At 55.1% G+C, this 18,157-nt stretch overlaps 1 protein-coding gene and 1 long non-coding RNA gene across 6 annotated transcripts in view, besides 1 other annotated feature; one reads left to right on the forward strand and one right to left on the reverse strand.

Moving 5' to 3' along the window:
* Positions 1-15,400, reverse strand: part of TLX1NB (TLX1 neighbor) — a 51,946-nt gene extending 36,546 nt beyond the window's left edge. Inside the window, exons 1-2 of one of the 3 annotated variants that reach the window (NR_130723.1) lie at positions 4,920-5,280; positions 1,094-1,232 (exon numbers count right to left, since the gene is read on the reverse strand). This is a non-coding gene — a long non-coding RNA (TLX1 neighbor). Of the gene's footprint in view, positions 1-1,093; positions 1,233-4,890; positions 5,281-14,821 lie in introns of those variants that run through there. The other 2 variants (NR_130722.1, NR_130724.1) reach the window with 2 other exon arrangements.
* Positions 5,434-11,923, forward strand: TLX1 (T cell leukemia homeobox 1). 3 transcript variants are annotated; one of them, XM_011539744.4, is made up of 3 exons: positions 5,434-6,243; positions 8,273-8,510; positions 10,825-11,923. In XM_011539744.4, exons 1-3 carry the CDS (start codon positions 5,676-5,678, stop codon positions 11,045-11,047), a joined length of 1,029 nt encoding a protein of 342 aa, XP_011538046.1. In that variant the 5' UTR covers positions 5,434-5,675; the 3' UTR covers positions 11,048-11,923. The 3 variants fall into 3 exon arrangements, with proteins under 3 accessions (XP_011538046.1, NP_001182446.1, NP_005512.1); NM_001195517.2 differs by having other exon boundaries at positions 8,309-8,510; positions 10,802-11,923; NM_005521.4 differs by having other exon boundaries at positions 8,309-8,510.
* Positions 16,616-17,420: an enhancer, noted in NCBI's record as "H3K4me1 hESC enhancer chr10:102902239-102903043 (GRCh37/hg19 assembly coordinates)". NCBI's record gives its function as "activates a minimal SCP1, AML or CMV promoter by ChIP-STARR-seq in primed H9 embryonic stem cells {active_cell/tissue: H9 hESC(primed)}" and the evidence as "EXISTENCE:reporter gene assay evidence [ECO:0000049][PMID:30033119]".

Genomic DNA, 18,157 nt, shown 5'->3' on the forward strand with positions numbered 1-18,157 from the left:
CACTTGGCCTACTCACTCCCCCCACCTCCTCAGTCTAGGCTCCTAGAGACCCTCCTCCCCAACCCAGGGCTCCTGGAGTTACAGTGCCCTTTACTGGGTCTCTAAGTCCCTAAGTCACCAGGTGATCCTGCCTCTCCCACAGCAGGGAAAGTTTTCTGCCCCTTTTCTGAGACAAATGGGAAGGTAGAGGGAACACTTTTGGTACTAGGAATGCAGACCCCATTGGCCCCGCCATGGATCGCATCATGTCACACATCCCCTTACATATTTCTCAGCCCCCTTTCCCTACTATATATCCATTGGGTATACCCTGTGTCCCCCTCCCCACGACCACAGGCCCATACACAGCCACTTCTCTGACAATTCCATCGGAATAAAAGACACTCCTCCCATGGTACACGCCATCTGCAGCACGCAGTCGTAGCAGAGGGATGCCCTCATCCCATCACAGGCACTCACTACAGAGGAACAGTTGTAAACACATACTCATCTTGTTGCAGAAAACACATTCACTTGCATTCTCACTGACACATACATCCTCACATGACAAAATCCAGTTGTATAAAATACCCAGACTCCCTTCTTTTCCTCCAACACTCTTCCCAACATGCATTTTGCTTGCAGTTGTATCCCAACAGCCTAACACAGTGCCTGATACATACTAGATGCTCTATAATTATTCATTGAATACATTGTTAAAATTATTTCTTAAAGACATGCCCAGGACATCTGCACAGCCCTCTCAATCCTGACTGTCACACAGGCTTTCCCATCCAGCTTTCCCCTCGTGGATGCACGGCCCCACAAACACAAAGTAATTAAGTTTCCACACATATCCGTAAGCTAAAGGACAACCCCTGGCCCGGGGGTCTCTTTCAGAGCGGGGAAGAGGAGGAGATTGTGTGGGATCCAAAGGGGCCTCCCCCTGGGCTGAGCCCGTCCTTTCCTCCTCCCCCAGCCCGGGCCCTGGCCCCAGCTGCTCTTCTTTTAATTGGAGGCACTTTTTTATTCTGCAGGCCAGGGGGAGCCGGTGCTTGGGGGGAGGGGTGTTACCAGGTGGCCTCAGAACCAGAGAGAAGGATCTGCAACTCACCTAGGTTCCTGCAAGATAGTCCTGTGAGGCAAGAGCCAAGTTTAGGCTTAAGGAAGCAGCTTGTAGTGAGTGGAGTCAAGAAAGCAGTGTTTGCGTCTGGTCTGCCCCTTTCCAGCTTTCAGTGCCTTGGTTTTCTCATCTGTAAAATGGGGATAACAAAAACCACATCACAGGATTAAAGATGAGTGGAGAGATCATTCTGGTGGCTCACACATGGCAGTTGCTCTGTGAGTCCTGCTTTCTTCCCCTCCCTCCTCGTTCCTATCAGGGCTGTTTTGCAAGGCATGCAAAAGCACGGTGGAAACACAGAAGCTGCAGCGAATATAAACTTGTGTGAGTCTCCTCTCCTGTTTCAGAAAACTTCCCAACCTTGCAACACCGTGCTCAGGTAACACTGCTCTCAGGAGAAGGGGTGGGCGCCAGAGCCCAGCAAATCCTGACCCTCCAGTCTCATCTTTCTAGGTAAGGAAGGGACAGAGAGGGTAGTCTTGGCCCTCAGTAAATACCCTATTGGAAGACAAAGGCTGGGATTAAGCTGACTCACAGAATCCCAGCACCTCATTGAGGGTAAAAGTTGGGAGTATCCCCAATTGGGATAAAAGTTGACTCTGATAAACAAAAAAGGTAGGAGGGGAAAAAGGAAGAAATCCGTCAAGGAAGCGGCTGTGATCGCAGGGGAAAGTCAGTATATCCCTGGGCTGCTGGATTTTAATGAGAAGAGCTTGACAGTCTTAGTGGGCCATGTACAAGGGAGTGGTGACTCTGCCAACCTTAAGCTGGGCCAGGAATGGTAAAGTCTCCTCCCAGGTACCCTGGACAACTGATACCAGATCTGAGGAGTTCAAGAGGTAGATCAGGCAAATGCCAAAAGGGTTGGAAGGCCATCTGAGCTGGAGATGTGCACCTGGAAAGATAGGTGGTTTATTTTATTTTATTTTATTTTATTTTATTTAGTTTTATAAATTTTACCTTCAACCAACCCACACCAAAAGATGGGGTTTTAACTGCAGCAGGTAAAACTGTGGTGAGACTAAAAGGAGTGAGGCCACTAGGACCCAGCCTCAAAAAAAGCTGCAGTACCCTTCCCCATAGTTTTCAGCCTCAAACAAGGAAAATAGCTCAGATTTTGAGATTCCAGATCAATCTTCTCTGTCTATGGAACTTGGAGCAAGTTTGTTCTCTTTACTGAGTCTCAGTTTTCATTTTCTTTTTAGAGATGGGGCATTGCTATGTTGCCCAGGCTAGAGGTGCAATTATAGCACATCTCAGGCTCAAATTCCTGGCCCCAAGTGATCCTCTAGCCTCACCCTGCAGAGCTGCTAGAACTACAGGCACGGGCCACTGCACCCAGCCATTTTTTTCTTTTTAAAAATGAGATATAATTCATGTGCTATAATATTCAGCCCCTTTAAAATGTATAATTCGGTGGGTTTTAATATTTTTAAAAGTTATGTAACCATCACCACTATCTCATTCCAGAATGTTTTCATCACTCCAAAAGGAATTCTGTATCCATTAGCAGTCAATTTCCATTCCCTGCTGCCCCCAGTTCCTGAAAACCACTAATCTATTCTCTGCCTCTGTGGATTTGCCTATTTTGGACATTTCATAAAAGTGGAATCATACAATATGTGGCCTTTGTGCTTGGCTTCTTTCACTTAGCAGAATAGTCTCCTAGGTTCATCCATGTTATAGCATGAACCAGCATTTCCCTTCTTTTCCTTTTTATGGCTAAATAATATTCCATGTGTGGATATAACAAATTTTGTTTATCTATTCATCAGTTGGTGGACATCTGAGTTGTTTCCCCTTTTGGGCTATCATGAATAATACTGCCATGAACATTCATTCAATTCTCTCAATTATAAAAAATTGGGACATTTCTATTAACTTGCCTGGGTTGTTATAAGTCTTAAATGAGATAAGCATGATGTGGTACCTGGCACAAAACTGTCTTTCAATAAATAATTTATTTCTGCTTTAGTTCCCTCAAGATAAGAGGCAGGAAGAGATTCATTCGGGTTCAGACAACTTCCAAAGTAAGTTATGGAACTCCTTGGGAAGGGGTAGAGTACCTGGATTGGGTAAGTGGGAAGAAGAGAACTGGCGAGGGAGCGGAGCCCTCTCATGTTTCTGCTTAGTGTTTTTTTTTGTTTGTTTGTTTTTTGAGATGGAGTCTTGCACTGTTGCCCAGGCTGGAGTGCAGTGGCGCGATCTCAGCTTACTGCAAGCTCTGCCTCCTGGGTTCACGCCATTCTCCTGCCTCAGCTTCCTGAGTAGCTGGGACTACAGGTGCCCACCACCACGCCTGGCTAATTTTTTGTACTTTTGGTAGAGACGGGGTTTCACCGTGTTAGCCAGGATGGTCTCAATCTCCTGACCTCGTGATCTGCCCGCCTTGGCCTCCCAAAGTGCTGGGATTACAGGTGTGAGCCACCATGCCCAGCCTTCTGCTTAGTGTTTACAAACAACTACCAATTTCACATTTGGCTTTGTCTTGAGTGGGCCTTTGTCCACCTGGCTAGAGCTCAGACAAGGTTTTCCCCACAGATACAAACTTCCAACCAGCACGTAGGTTTCCAGGCTAACCCACAAAAGCAAGTTGAGTCTAGCTCCTCCATATTGATCCACACCAATCATAGCTATTCTGAAATGTACTTTCCTCACATCTGTAAAATAGGGAGAATACTCATCTCGAAGGATTGGTGTAGAGTTTATATTGTTCTCCATAATACTAACATCTGTCTTGTTGTATTTGCTTCTTTGCTTATTGTCTGACCCCCTCTATAGAATGTAAGCTTCATGAGGTCAGGACCTTTGTTTTGTTCACTGCTATGTCCCCCATGCCTAGAACAGTGCCTGACACATAGTGAGTACAGTACTCAATAAATATTATTGAATAAAGAGATACATTCTTTGTTATTCACCCAAGATGACCATATTTTGTTGTTTGGGGCTGTATTCTTCAGGAGAGAACAGAAATGAATAAGCCACTCTCTGCCTCCAAGAAGATCTCTTCAAGTGGAGGTGACAGACATGCCCAAAGCAAATAGATTGCAATAAGACTTGATGGGAGAGAATGTGAGTCTTCACATCCTAGCATCTTTCCAGATAGAGACAGGGCCTACCCAAAAGTCTAATCTGAAACTGAACTGAAATAGAACAGAAATAGATCCCAAGTGATGGAACCTGTGCCTTTCCCAAAGCTTGGCTTCTAAAAGGTAGCAAACATTTTCTACTGGAGAGGGGAAAGACAGGAAGAAGAAAAAGGGAGTTTCCTCCTTTTCTCTTGGGCTCTCAGCCAGACAGCCACTGGCAAAACGTTGGAAAGGCCTAAATTTGTCCTGGATGCACTTCCCTGATCCTAGTCCCACCAATCCCAGCCCCCACGGCCTTAAGCCCCTATGGCTCCCTCCCAAGATTCCAAACGTAAGAAAAGAACACACACCACAGTCCAAAGGCTTCTTGTCTGGAATAGCCAACCCTGGGGTAATTGTTAGGTGGAATGCAATCTGGTTGAATTCATTCAAACACTGTAGGAATTGCCTCTTTCGAACCCTGTAGGATTTTACTTCTTGACGCATCTGTTTATTTAAAACCAAAGGGGTATGTTGAGGCATGGGCACCCTGGCAGCAGACCCCAAACCAACCCTCTTGACTTGTGCCTGCCTTTCAGGATATGTTCCCTTCCTGAATTTGTCTAAGAAGGCTGAGTTGGGGGGTGGTTGCTGATTTTTATAACATATAGCCAGTTGTTCATAGGCCTGTGTTTTAAAGAAGGGCAAGCCTGAACTCACCGTCCTGCCTCAGGGCCTGGGCTCCATACCTGGGGAGTAGACAGTCTTCTACTTTCTAAAAAGCTGGACTTGAAATTTGGAGTAAATCTCCTGGTTGAGTGACAGGTGTTTCGCAGCTGAGCCCTTGAGGAGATTCTCCAGTTGGGCAGAGACATCCCTTCCTCAGACGCCTTGTGGGCTGGACTCCTTTGGCCCAGTTCAAAGTGAGGGGAGGGCTCCCAACAGGCCGGGAAGACAGTTGACTTCACCCTCCTTGGGTTTGTCTGTCTGTCCGTCTCTGGGAATGGTCGCTTCCTGTTTTCCCTTTTCCTTTTAAGCCTCGCCTTGTTCCCCTCTTCTCTCTCTTCATGAACTACTCCGAGTCTTGGTCTCCGTCCCTCTATCTCTGGCTCCTGCATCTGTCTCGGCTTCTGGCCTTCCTCTCCCCCTCCCCTCCCCTCCCTCGCGCTGTCATTCACCCCGCTCCTCTCCGCGCACAGCCAATGGAGAGACCCAGTCGAAACCGCGAAGCTCTCTTGCACCGGGCTTTTTCGCCTGGTGATTGATGTCCCAGAGTCAACAGCGAGCGAGCAGCCGGAGCGGGGAAGCAGAAGCCAGAGAGGGGAAGAATACGGCGCCCCCTCTCTCCCTCCCCTCCCCCTTCTACTTTAGCCTTTCTGCGCACTTCGCTTCCAAGTCTCCGCGCAGCCAGGAGCCGCTGTTGCCTCCCAGCCCCTGCTAGCTGCCCCCCGAGCCGAGCGCAGCGAGCGCCGCCGCCCGGGCCCCCCGGTGGGGCCAGGGCCAGCATGGAGCACCTGGGTCCGCACCACCTCCACCCGGGTCACGCAGAGCCCATTAGCTTCGGCATCGACCAGATCCTCAACAGCCCGGACCAGGGTGGCTGCATGGGACCCGCCTCGCGCCTCCAGGACGGAGAATACGGCCTTGGCTGCTTGGTCGGAGGCGCCTACACTTACGGCGGCGGGGGCTCCGCGGCCGCGACGGGGGCTGGAGGAGCGGGGGCCTATGGTACTGGAGGTCCCGGCGGCCCCGGAGGCCCGGCAGGCGGCGGCGGCGCCTGCAGCATGGGTCCTCTGACCGGCTCCTACAACGTGAACATGGCCTTGGCAGGCGGCCCCGGTCCTGGCGGCGGCGGCGGCAGCAGCGGCGGTGCCGGGGCACTCAGCGCTGCGGGGGTAATCCGGGTGCCGGCACACAGGCCGCTCGCCGGAGCCGTGGCCCACCCCCAGCCCCTGGCCACCGGCTTGCCCACCGTGCCCTCTGTGCCTGCCATGCCGGGCGTCAACAACCTCACTGGCCTCACCTTCCCCTGGATGGAGAGTAACCGCAGATACACAAAGGACAGGTTCACAGGTGAGTCCGGCCCGCGCGCTCCCCGCCTGGCCGCGGCCCGGGCTCCGTGCTACCCCTGCCCCGCCGGGTGGCTCCCCAAAGCCGGTTCTGCGCTCCAGGTCGCCCAGCTCTTCTTGGTGCTTCCCCCAAGTTGAGCCGCCCGCCCGATTCTATAACGCAGACTCGCCATGCTTGAAGAGTTCTCTCAGCCTGGACCCCTCTCTGTCTCCCGAAGGACCCCTGCTCGGAGGAGCTCTCCCTGGTCCCCTCTCCGGATCCACTAGCCGGGTCAGGCAGAGAGAAGGAGGCCATAGATTCAGGACCACCTTCTGCAGCTACTCTTGGCCTGGGAATCTTAGAGAAAGGGGTGCAACGTGAACAGTTTCTTCCGTCCTGGCTGCTGTTCTAGGACCCAGGAAGCGAGCCCCAGGATCAGACACAAGAAAAGAACAGGTTCCCCCACCTCCAGTCCCCTACACACATGCACTTCGCGCCCCTAGCTCCGGTGCCCGTGGTGCTGCGGGGCCAGTGGGGGCTCTGAGCCCCGGTAAATCAGCAGAACCAGTGGCCTTTTTTTTTTTTTCCGGAGAGCAGGCTTCATCTGGGAGGATGGCAGCGGGGCTTAGCCGCCCAGGACAGCTAGCTTTTCATTTTCGTTCTCTCCCGGCTGGGTGTCCTACCCCGGGCCCAGCCCTGTTATCTTGGGCACGAACAATGCACCGGTAGGCTGGTGATCGGTGGCGGGAAGACTACTCCCGGGACATTGGGTACTAAGTGGTGGCCGCTGCCGCCTTCTCTGCTGCCCGCTCCCGCCTTCCTCTGCTGGCCCTGGCTCCCTCTGCTCCCGTTTCCACTCTGGGCACTCAACTCTCCCTCTGGCGTGGATCCCTTCCCCCGTTCTCACTTTCTGCTCCCCTTAGGGTTCCCTGGATCCTAGACCACGATCCTTCCGTCCGGGCTGGGAAGCAGCCACAAATTGAGCCCAGGTTAGCCAGCCGATCTTAGAGAGAGGAGGCAGGAGGCACTGGCTGCTGCTGGCAGAGATGGGGCCTCCTGGGGGTCCCCCGGTTCAAGGGCCCAACAGTGGAAGGGGGGTTTACATAACTACTTGGGAGAAGCTGCTGAGAGCTAGATACTGGGCCAGGAGATTCCAAAGCACCCCTGGCTTCCTGCTTCTGTTCCAGGCAGCAGCACAGCCAGGGAAACTGCTTCTGCAGCTTCTTACCAGACTCTGGGGCCACGGCAGAAGTGGTGTGGAGGCTGGTGTCCAGAGGAAGAACAGTTGCTTGGGTCTAGGCCTCAGGAAGGGCCCTCCCTAGAGGGGTCCCAGTGCCCCCAACCTAAGTTTTCTCTGGCCTGGGGCAGCAGGGCCTGGTGCCCATCCCATTCCCCACCCAGGCCAGGCCAGTCTTGAAGGGCCCTGCTGGAAACCCAGCCGGGAGTCCACTAATCCTGGGCCTCTGGTGAAAGGTACTCGGTTTAGGGCCTACCGCGGGGCCCTAATACTGTGTCAGGCATGAAGGCGGTTTCAGCGAGTGTATGGCTGTGGCCTTGTTTTGCTCTGTGTCCTGTGTGCTTGTCCCGTGCCTGTGCTTGTCTGGTCCTGTTTGGGTGTATAGATCTGTGAGTTTGCCCCCGTTGTACGTTGTGTTGGTGTGTGCTGCTGTGGATGGAGGCTCAGGTCGGGTTCCAGAGTCAGGCTCGGCCTCTTACTCTGAGCCTGAAGGCCTGGGGCTGACTGAGGGGAGGGGAGCGTGACCATTAGCTCGCCTTAGACTGCCCCTGGAGGAGAGGCGGCAGGGAGGTGGTTGGGCTCGCGGGAGCCCGGGGCCAGGGAGGCCTCCGTGGTAGCGGCGACGGCGGCGTCGGACTGGCGGGCAGGAGGAGGCCGTTTCCCGCCGTGGGCTTGTCGCTGAGGGCTAACGGGAGGATCTCGGCCCTGCTCGTGGGGGTTCAGCTGCTGCGCTCGCTGACTCGCGGGGTGTTGGGCCTGGGACGCTTCCTGACGCTCTGCTGCTTGCCTCTGCCGTCTGTCTGTCTCCCGCTCCAGTGGCCCTCTCACCCTTCACTGTAACACGCCGTATAGGTCACCCCTATCAGAACCGGACGCCCCCCAAGAAGAAGAAGCCGCGCACGTCCTTCACACGCCTGCAGATCTGCGAGCTGGAGAAGCGCTTCCACCGCCAGAAGTACCTGGCCTCGGCCGAGCGCGCCGCCCTGGCCAAGGCGCTCAAAATGACCGATGCGCAGGTCAAAACCTGGTTCCAGAACCGGCGGACAAAGTGGAGGTGAGCAAGCGGGGCGGGCCGGCCGCCCGCGAGCGGCGCGGTCTCAGGCAGCTCTCGGTTCATTGGCCTCTCGTGGGGCGCACATACTTTTTCCGCTCGCGGTTTCTGATCCTTTCGGAGGAGCGAGCTCCCGCTAGGCTTGCGGGGAGCTGGAAGCAACCGAGGCCGATAGCTGGGATGGGGCTGAAGAGCCCTGGCTCTGTTTTACCGGAGGCTTCAGGGCTTTCTGGTTGGCACACTCTCTGCCGGTGTAGACGCGGCAGGTCTATTCCGCCGCTTGGGCAAACAGGCGGGTTAGTGCACTCCACGCAGTCCAGGCTCCAGGGATCTGTGAGTCCTGGGGAGCTTTTTGTTTGCGCAAACTCTTGCTTATGGAATCCTGCTCTGTCCTGGAGACTGGATGCAGAACAGCCCGCACCTTGTTGCAGCGCTCCAGCCGGGCTCCCGGCAGAGGGTCTGTGGCCCCAGACCGCGGCCCTGCTGACGGTCTCCTCCCCCAGACACCCGGCCTTTGCGCAGCCGGTCCCTACCCTGGAAGGAGAAAATCAATCCGCGCCGGCTGCGGCGGGGTTTCGCGGGTCCCACTGGAAGGGGAATCAATTAGGAGCAGATGGGTGTGTGTGAGAAAGAGAATTTTCCTTCTCCCATAGCCACAACTCTAGTTACTACGCAATGGGCTTTTTGTTTTGTTTTGTTTTTTCACATTTACGCTCACGGACGTGAAGCGTCCCCAACACTCTCGAGCAGCCTCCCTCTCCGCGCGCACTGACGCTTTCTCCGGCTGCACCCTCTGGCACGCTGCACCCTCTGGCACGCTGCACCCTCCCGCACATCTGGCCCTTGCCCGCCGGAGTTTCTCCCCTAGCTCAGGCCCCATGGGGTAGCGCGGGAGAGTCTGGGCGAAGTCGGCGGCGCCGAGACGGGCGGGCCTTGGGGCAGGAGGAAGGAATTGGAGTTTCCTCTTTTTCTGAACGAAGGCGAGGAATCTGCCTGGGATTCCGCCTACGGGGCCACAAAGGAAGCCATGGCCCCACGATTCTACCACAACATTTCTGACGCTGGGAAAGGAGTGGGGGATGCGGCCTCAGACCTTGGAACGCTAAAGAGGGAGCCAGGGCTAGCTCGGGGGTTGGGGGGACTCCGGTTTCCAAGGCCTACTGAGGGCTGCTGGCCTAGGGGAGGAGAGGCAGCCTGGCAGGCCTCCCAGAGAGAGGGGCACAGAGAAAGAAAGAGGCAGGCAAAGAGAGAAACTGAAACACAACCAGTTTCAGAGGTGGAGAGGGATAGGGACCCCGCTCAAGGAAAAAAAAGGAGAAAAACAGGCAGCCTGCAGAAGTCTTATTTATGTATAATAAAGAAAAAGCAATGGATGACTGAAACCACCATTTTCTTTTCAAACAAATTCCTTTAATTCAGAGAGAACCAAGTGGGTGGGGAGGAGAGAAAACGAGAGATAAGACACAAAGCCTAAAAGAGAAATATTCAGGCCGTTTGAAATGCAGGGGATAAGGGAAAGACGAAAGACGGAAAGATACACAGAGTCAAGAAAAGGCGGCCCAGAGCAGGTCAGCAGCCGCTGCTGGAAGAGGCCCTTGCAGGCTTCGCATGGCTTCATCGATCGCCTACAAATTGCTTCTGAAGGCCCCAGGGACTCCCATTAGGTCTGTCCACCTTAGAGACAGACGTTTGATCTCAGTTGACAGGGTGGAGGGGCGGCAGTAAATGGAATAAGTGAGTCATCGCCTCCCTGAACTGCCTCAGAGGAAGCCAGTGGGTCCAGCAGGAGCCCCGGTAGGGCACAGGGCTCCACACAGAAGGCCCAAGTCCTAGAAGACATTCGCAGAGAGAGGGAGGAAAGAGACGTCCCGCAGAGCAGATCGTACCCGCTGGTCCTTGCCTCTCTGCCCTGGACTTGTGGGTAGGGTGAGGGCCCTCTGGCTTGGAATGGCACCTGGTCTCCCTCAGGGCCGGGGAGGGGGAGGCGAGATGCCATCCTACCCCGGCTGCCCCTTGTGAGGCCTCCGGGGTGTGGGCGCTGCGCGTGGATGCGAGTCCCAGCTGTTTGGGCCTCGCAGACTTTCCCATCGCTCCTCCTCTGGGATACCTTGGCTCCATCCGCTTTGGGGTTTCCAGTCTTTGTTGGAGTCAGGACTCTCAAAAGAAGGGAACGCGTTATAGGGGCCCAAACTGGATTTGGGGACTGCAAAGGCGAGCAGCGCTCGTTCAGTTTATCTCCTGGGAACGCACCAGGAGTTGGGCACACGCGGGAGCTGGGTCGGTGCTCCTGGCAGGTAACGGCTTGTTCCCGGTGCAGACGGCAGACTGCGGAGGAACGGGAGGCCGAGAGGCAGCAAGCGAACCGCATCCTCCTGCAGTTGCAGCAGGAGGCCTTCCAGAAGAGCCTGGCACAGCCGCTGCCCGCTGACCCTCTGTGCGTGCACAACTCGTCGCTCTTCGCCCTGCAGAATCTGCAGCCGTGGTCTGACGACTCGACCAAAATCACTAGCGTCACGTCGGTGGCGTCGGCCTGCGAGTGAGCCTGCCCATTCTGCCCTGTGGGACCCCAGGCCCACTCAGGGGTCACTGAGGCCTGAGACCCAGGACTCCTCCCCACCCTCCTGGCCTCAGACTGCACCCAGGAGGGGAACACTGCCCTCGCACGGCCCCGAAGGGCCCCCACATTTGTGCCGACACTGTTCTCCCTTCGGTGGAAGAGCTCAAGGGACAAGGACACGCGCCCCCCTCCCAGAGGCGTCCCGCACCTGTCTGAACTGTTAAGAAATCTGTTTTTGTTTATTTCATTTTATTTTAATTTTTAACGTGGGATTCAGAGAAAGGCAAGGGAGGTAAGGGAGGAGGAGCTTCTGGGGTCCCCAGGGCTGTCATCTGAATTTGCCCTGGGAAACCCCTTCTCTGTGACCCACTTCTCATCACACACATGGAAACCCATAGGCCCACACACAGGTGGTGTCACTGTCCCTCCTGGTGTCACCCCAGAGCCACACATGGGCATCTATGGGAGAGTGTCAACCAGACAGAGGGTCACAGTGTTTACACTTTGGACCTTACGATCAGGCACAGGTCAGGGGTGACACAGACTCATCCTGAACAGCATGGCACTCCCTCCAGCACAAACACAAGGTCATGGCCACACTGTGACACACTACACCACACACAACAGCCAACAGCTACAACAGCCTCACTTGGTCTGCCAGGCCCCCACCACACATCCCAGCCCAATCCAGGTACGCACAGACAGGTTTTCACATAAATGCAGCCCATTTCTCCAGAACCCATTTGAGGGGTGGGGGGGTGTTAATTTATGCACTTATAAGGTGTTTTCTGTGTAACCATTTTATAAAGTGCTTGTGTAATTTATGTGAAAAAAATAAATAAAAGCCTCCGGATCCGGAGTCAGGGCTGCCTGCTCCTTGCGGACCCTAGCGTCCTTCAGCTACTTGGGTTTGGTGTGTGAGCTGATGCTTCAGGGGCAGCCCTTGGTACCTGAACTTGAGAGACATGTTGCGGGGCAGGACCCTAAGGCTCTGGAGAGAGGAAAGGAAGAGGACAGATGGAGAGAAGGCAGAGTTGAGGAGAGCAGGGAGAGCCAGGCTCTCCTGGGATTACCAGTGCCTGAGAGGATGTGGATTTCTTTGGATGTGAGAGTCGTGTGTGTGTGTGTGTGTGTGTGTGTGTGTGTGGTGTGTTTGTGATAATGTGAGCAATCAGCAATGCGAGCAAATAGTGAATATTTATAATGGTATTTAAGTGTATAATTGTGTTTGCAATTCTTGCGTGTAAATGCTTGTTTCTGCTTAAGTTGCAAATCGAAACTATCATTGTATGCACGGGCTTGTAGTGGTGTGTGTGTAACCGTATGTGAATGTGACTGTTTCTTTTTGGGTAATTGTGTAATCAACCATTGTTTGTGATTATGTATGAATCGTGTTGATGTTTGGGAGAATATGTATTAGTTTCTCTTTGTAAATCTATTTTTCTGTGAAATGTGTGACTGCTTCTGAAGTGGATCATCTTGAATTTTATGGGTGTAATTGTGTGTGAGATGTAATTATGTGTGAGCTGTGCATTTTCCCTGTATTTACTTGTGTGTGACAGAATGTAATTGGGGGAGTAAAGGTAGTGGGGAGTGTGGATCACTGTGGGAGACCATCACTGCAAGTGGGTGGGTATGGTTCTGTATGAGTGTGTGTAATTGTGTGCTGATGGTGTATGTGTTGGTGGGAGTCTGTTGTGCGATACGCAGATACATTGTGGCGGGACCAACATCTGCTGAAGTTCTGGGGCTCTAGACGCTTACCCAGCAAGCTGCAGAGACTGGGGCACATTGAATCAGAAATTAAGGCCAGAATCCTCTCTGGTGCTGTAAGTGGGACCTACCAGTTCCCAGCACTAGCCTGGCCTAGGAGAGATCTAAAGAATTGACTTTCTGGGAACCTCCAGGAGCCCTCCAGACCACCCTTGCCAGACCTGCAGCCACAGTACACATGCACACAGGCATAACAGCCAGTCCCCAGCCTATTCGAATTATCCTAGACAAGACTGACTTGGGTCTGCTTTTCTGGAAGAAGCTGTGTGGTGGAGGGTCTACAGAACTCATCACCCTAGGGGTGAGTTGAAATGGAGGGGTAAGAGGCTTTTTCTCTGGGATGGGAGAGTGAGAGAACTTTTCAGCTGAAAGTGGAAGTTCGTGGTGTGGGGGTCACTGGAAGCTCTGCAGAAGTGTTTGCGGGATACTGAGGGTGGGGAGCCACCCTAACTGTCAGAACCACTGTCCCCCAACCCTGCCCCTGCCCGGCAGCCATGAGGGCTGTGACACAGGTCGTGAGCACAGCAACTTCCCACCCCAGCAAGCCCATGGGGAAGTTCGGCTGAGTGGAGGGTGGGCTTGGTCATCCACCCCCTCATCTGGGGTCCCCTGGGATATCCGCATAAGAGGGGGCTTCTGTCACTCACTTTGTGTAGACATGAAGAAAAGAGAAAAAGAGGGGAGGGTTCAGGGTCCGAAGACAGCAGCCAGCCTTTCCGCCCCATCCCCGCAGGCCCGCGGAGTGCTCAGGTTGGGCCCTGACGAGCTGTGTGGAGCGTAGTGAGCAGGTTCTGGCGGCAGCGCCGGGTCTGCTGCAGGTCTCCCGCATTCACCGGCTGTGGCACCCAGCGCCAGGCCGCGCAAAATCCAGAAATAGCCTCCAGCACCTCAGAAGTCGTCTCCCTCTACCTGGGCAGGTCTGCTGTCCCCTCTGCTCCCGCAGGACTGGAGCCACCGAGCTCGCGCCTTCTTCTCGGGGTGCGATTTCTCTCCTCTTTTGGACTCAAGATCAATGCTTCCCGGCCGGCGCAGATCACACAGCAGGACCCCAGGGGAGACTGTGGCCTTCTTCCCGCCTCCCAATTCCCCAAGACCGCCTCTAGAGGCTGCTGTGTCCGGAGAACTCCGAGCATTTTCTGGACACAGATTGCCTAACAGAGGAACAGGGGTTAGGTGGGGAGCGGCTGGCCGGCCCAAACACAGCAGCCCCAAGCTGGCTCCCAAGCCTGGGCTCTCCACCCCCGCTCCCATCCTCTCTTGAGCACAGTTAGGCCCAACACCCCTGTCCCCCAAAACACCTCCTACCCTCCCTCCCCCCCAGCCCCCATCTTCAGGAACATCACAGGGCTCACACTCACTAACCGCGGAGAGCACATGCAGGCCGGAGCCCTCAGCCCGGCAGCTCTCGGACCCTGCCCAGCTCGACGCGGACTCATGCAGAAGAGGACATTCCGCAGGTAGGTACAATCCCAGCGCTGGGGCCTGGGGCGTCCGGGGGGCGGCCTTTGAGCTTCCCGGATACCGCTCGCCTGCTCCCGGAGCTGTTCGGCCGCCGGCTGCCCGGGTCGTGCACTTTCAGTAGGGCCCCGCTGACTCTCCTGCCCTTGGGCTAGGCCTCCCGGGGATGCCAGACTCCTGGGGACGCTGGGACCCGCGGCGCGGCGGGACACGCAGGACTCCCGCCTCTCCGCCCGGAATTCGTTGAGACGGAATCTCAGCGGATCCCGCGTCCGCCGAGCGCCGCGGCCAGGGAGAAAGGCCGGTGTGGCGGCTGGACCCGCAAACTCCGTCCCAAGTGGGGCGGAGGCTGGAGGGGAGGGGGGCTGCGAGGGTCACAGTCAAGGCCAACTACTCACAACAGAAAGCTCGAAACTCTCCCTCTACCTCCCCTGCCGGAAATGACCCGTCTCTGTTCAAAAATAGAAAAAGAACGATCGGAATAATTGTTCGCAGAGGTGCCGGGAGAGAAGGGGAATTAACAAACCTGCCTGCGCGGAGAGGTCTGCTTCCTTCTTTGGCTTCAGAACCGACGGCAATCACCAAATTCCTGCGGCCAGCGAGCCCTGCCCCTCAGATCTGGCCCTCTGGTTGAGTGGGTGGCGGCCTGAGGGGCCCCAGGAACCCAGGCAGGGATGGGGTCCTAGAGGCCCTGTGCAGTGCGGTGGGTGGCACACAGAGAATCTGGCTCAACCTGTTAACTATAATAGCGGCTTTGTGTGGCCGCATCTGTGCTTGGGGGCTGTGTGGCACCTCCTGAGCACTGACTGCCCTGTCGTGGCTCCACTACCAGGCAGTTGTGGGGTTTGCCCTGGGCACAGGACTCAGATGGGTGCCCTGCTTGTGGGGCGAGTGACTCGCAGGTGGGCAAGGTAGGCTTCAGGTGCTTGAGACAACTAAGTAAGGACCTCTAGCCAGCTGAAGCAGCTGGGACTCAGCAGCCAGGCTGCAGGGCAACCGGGAGGCTGCGGCCTTGGGGCTGCCCTGAGGGCCCTTCAGCTCAGGTGCCAGAGGAGACCTCCTCCCTCATGCTTTACTCCTTCTGCTGCCCTCATGCCCACTTTCACACTTATGTGTCACTCCCACACAGCCCCCCAGTCCTGCTCCCTACCAGGGCCCCCAGACCCTCCAGATCAGCTCAGAGTTTGAAGTTCCACAGCCAGGCTGTTGCCAAGCAACTGGCAGGAGCTGCCACCACGTTCCCTGCGTGGCTCAAAAGGGCCCATCCAATGCCTTCTGCCCCCATTCAGCTCTGGCCTGGTTGGCCCAGGGAGGCCCCTCCCACCCCGGAACCCTCACCTGGATGTCTTATCCTGGAGAATCTGATAGGAACAGGCTGAGCAGAGGCTGGAGTCAGGTCAGGTTTTCCAAGGAGCTCAGAGCAGACTCCAAAGACTGTGCATGATAGGGGTGAGGGGTGGCAGGTTGGGGTGTGAGGAAGGGCTGGGTGAGTTCCAGGGAGTGATGGGGTACCTACATTTTGTTGAGGGGTGGGTACAATTCACATGCCCCCACTCACAGCCTGCATTGCTGGGTACAACCTCACATACCTCCTTCAACTATGCAACAATCAGGGTGTGCAGTGTTACACGAGGGGAGCTACAGGTGTGCTGTGCCAGGCACACACAGAGCCTGCACTGCTGGTGCAAGCTCACACCTGACCAGGCCACCTCCTGTAAGTGGTTACCCCTGGACACCCCTCCTCTCCTTCCCTCCTCCCCCAGCCCCTACAGAGGAGGATCTAACTCCATTCCCAGCTGGCCTGGGGGTGGGGGTTGTCTTAGGAGCTGGCTTCAGGTTCCAGCCCTGCAGCTCGGGTGGTAAGGGAACCCCATGTGCCTAAGGCTGAGCTTGGGGATAGCAGCGGCCACCTTAGATACTGGCTGAGGACCCTAGCAAGGCCCAGAAGGTCCAGCGGCCGCCACTGCCTGCCCAAAGCCTGGGGAAATCTGGCCTCCTTGTGTGCGAGAAGATTGTGAGGGGTGCGGGGGGCCCCCTGCCACTGTGTGCCTCCTTGGGGAAAGGCTTTGGTGGGAGCTGCTCCTGCCCCTCCTGTTTTATGCCCTACGGACCCAGAACCCACATTTCTTTGGTTGCTGCGAGAAGAGCCAAAAGACCCAAAAGCTGGAGGCCGCGGCCGTGATTCAGCAGCCACCCAGAAGTGGGAGCTGGACCTGGGACTTGGTCACAGAAACCCAGAACGAGTGAGTTCTGGGCGCCCTCTAGGGGCCGCGCGTAGCAAGGCACTTCGAGCCGAGGCTCTGGGAGCTTGTATTCTCCGTGGCACCCTCGGAAATGCAGGGGTGGCTGTTACTGACTAGGTTGGAAAATACGAATGATAATCACACTAGCGAGCAATGTTATGGAGCATATGCTGGTGCCAGGCACTGCACTATGCTTTAAGAGTACTAATTCATGCCTAGCAACTACCTTATGAGGTAGTGGTATTTTTATCCCTGCTTTATACATAACGAAAATTGAAGTTTAAAGAGACTAAGCAGGGGCCAGGCGCGGTGGCTCACGCCTGTAATCTCAGCAGTTTGGGAGGCAGAGGCGGGCGGATCACTTGAGGTCAGGAGTTCGTGATCAGCCTGGCCAACATGGTGAAACCCCGTTTCTACTAAAAATACAAAAATTAGCCGGAAGTGGCGGCGGGCGCCTGTAATCCCAGGTACTCCAGAGGCTGAGGCAGGAGAATCGCCTGAACCAGGGAGGCGGAGGTTGAGCAGCTTGCCTGAGAGCCCGCGGCTGGTAAACAGTGAGGCCAGCATTCCAACCATGAGGTCTAACTCTAGAGCCACGGTCTTTGAGAGGGATGGCCGAGTCCTGGAGTATCATGGAATTAGTGAGAATTGGAGATGAGACCCTACCAGACTCCTGTCAGATTTGGCTTTATGGAGGGAGCTCTTAGTCTAGAGGGGGGCTGGGTGTTTGTCCTCTAGAGCTCTGGGAAAATCGCCTTCAGTCCCATCCAGTCTACTGGAACCTTCCTCCCCGTGAGGCGCCTGGCTTCCAGGCCCCACTCTGCCAGGCCTCTGTGGCCGCCCCCTCTTCCCCCGCACTGACTGCAAGCGCACACTCTACGTCTTCCCAGCAGGGCTTGAAGCCTTGTGGGATTGGAAGGGGGTTCCGTGCACTTTCACCTCTTCCCCTCCCTTCTCTGGGTCAAGAAAATGGAAGGACTCAAACTGACAGAAAGTTAAAAATAGAAGCCAATGAATCACACTTTATTAGTCAAAGGAACAGAGAACCAGAAAGGAAAATCCTTCCTCTCCTTGTCCATCTGCTCTGTGGATTGGAGGATCGGGGAGTGAGCTGAGGTGGGTAGGAGGGTGAGACTTGAAGGTCAGGGAGTTACCAGAGGTTTTCTTGGTGACCTCTTAGTAAGATTCAATCAAACTATAAAAAGAAAGAGTATGGCAGGCCAGGCGTGGTGGCTCACACTTAGAGTCCCAGCACTTTGGGAGGCCAAGGTGGGAGGATCGCTTGAGCCCAGGAGTTCGAGAACAGCCTGGGCAACATGATGAGACCCCCCCAGCTATATATTTAGGCCGGGCATGGTGGCACACGGCTGTAGTCCTAGCTACTCCGAAGGCTGAGGTGGGAGGATTGCCTGAGCCTGGGAGGTCAAGGCTGCAATGAACTGTGATAATGACAGTACACTCCAGCCTGGGTGACAGAGTGAGACCTTGTCAGAAAGAAAGAAGAACGAAAGAAAAGAAAGAAAGAAGAAAGAAAGAAAGAAAGAAAGAAAGAAAGAAAGAAAGAAAGAAAGAAAAAAGAAAGAAAGAAAGAACCGAGCGGGTGAGCTTGGCCTTGCCTC

The sequence above is a fragment of the Homo sapiens genome, chromosome 10 (genome assembly GCF_000001405.40).
Source record: "Homo sapiens chromosome 10, GRCh38.p14 Primary Assembly".
Taxonomy (NCBI): Eukaryota; Metazoa; Chordata; class Mammalia; order Primates; family Hominidae; genus Homo; species Homo sapiens.

What these genes read in the sequence shown, in the direction of transcription:
- TLX1 (XM_011539744.4), top strand. Translation starts at nt 5,676, where the DNA reads ATGGAGCACCTGGGTCCGCACCACCTCCACCCGGGTCACGCAGAGCCC. An exon ending in CACAAAGGACAGGTTCACAG is followed by an intron (nt 6,244 to 8,272) that starts GTGAGTCCGGCC and finishes CTCCCGCTCCAG; the next exon opens with TGGCCCTCTCACCCTTCACT. An exon ending in AACCGGCGGACAAAGTGGAG is followed by an intron (nt 8,511 to 10,824) that starts GTGAGCAAGCGG and finishes TTCCCGGTGCAG; the next exon opens with ACGGCAGACTGCGGAGGAAC.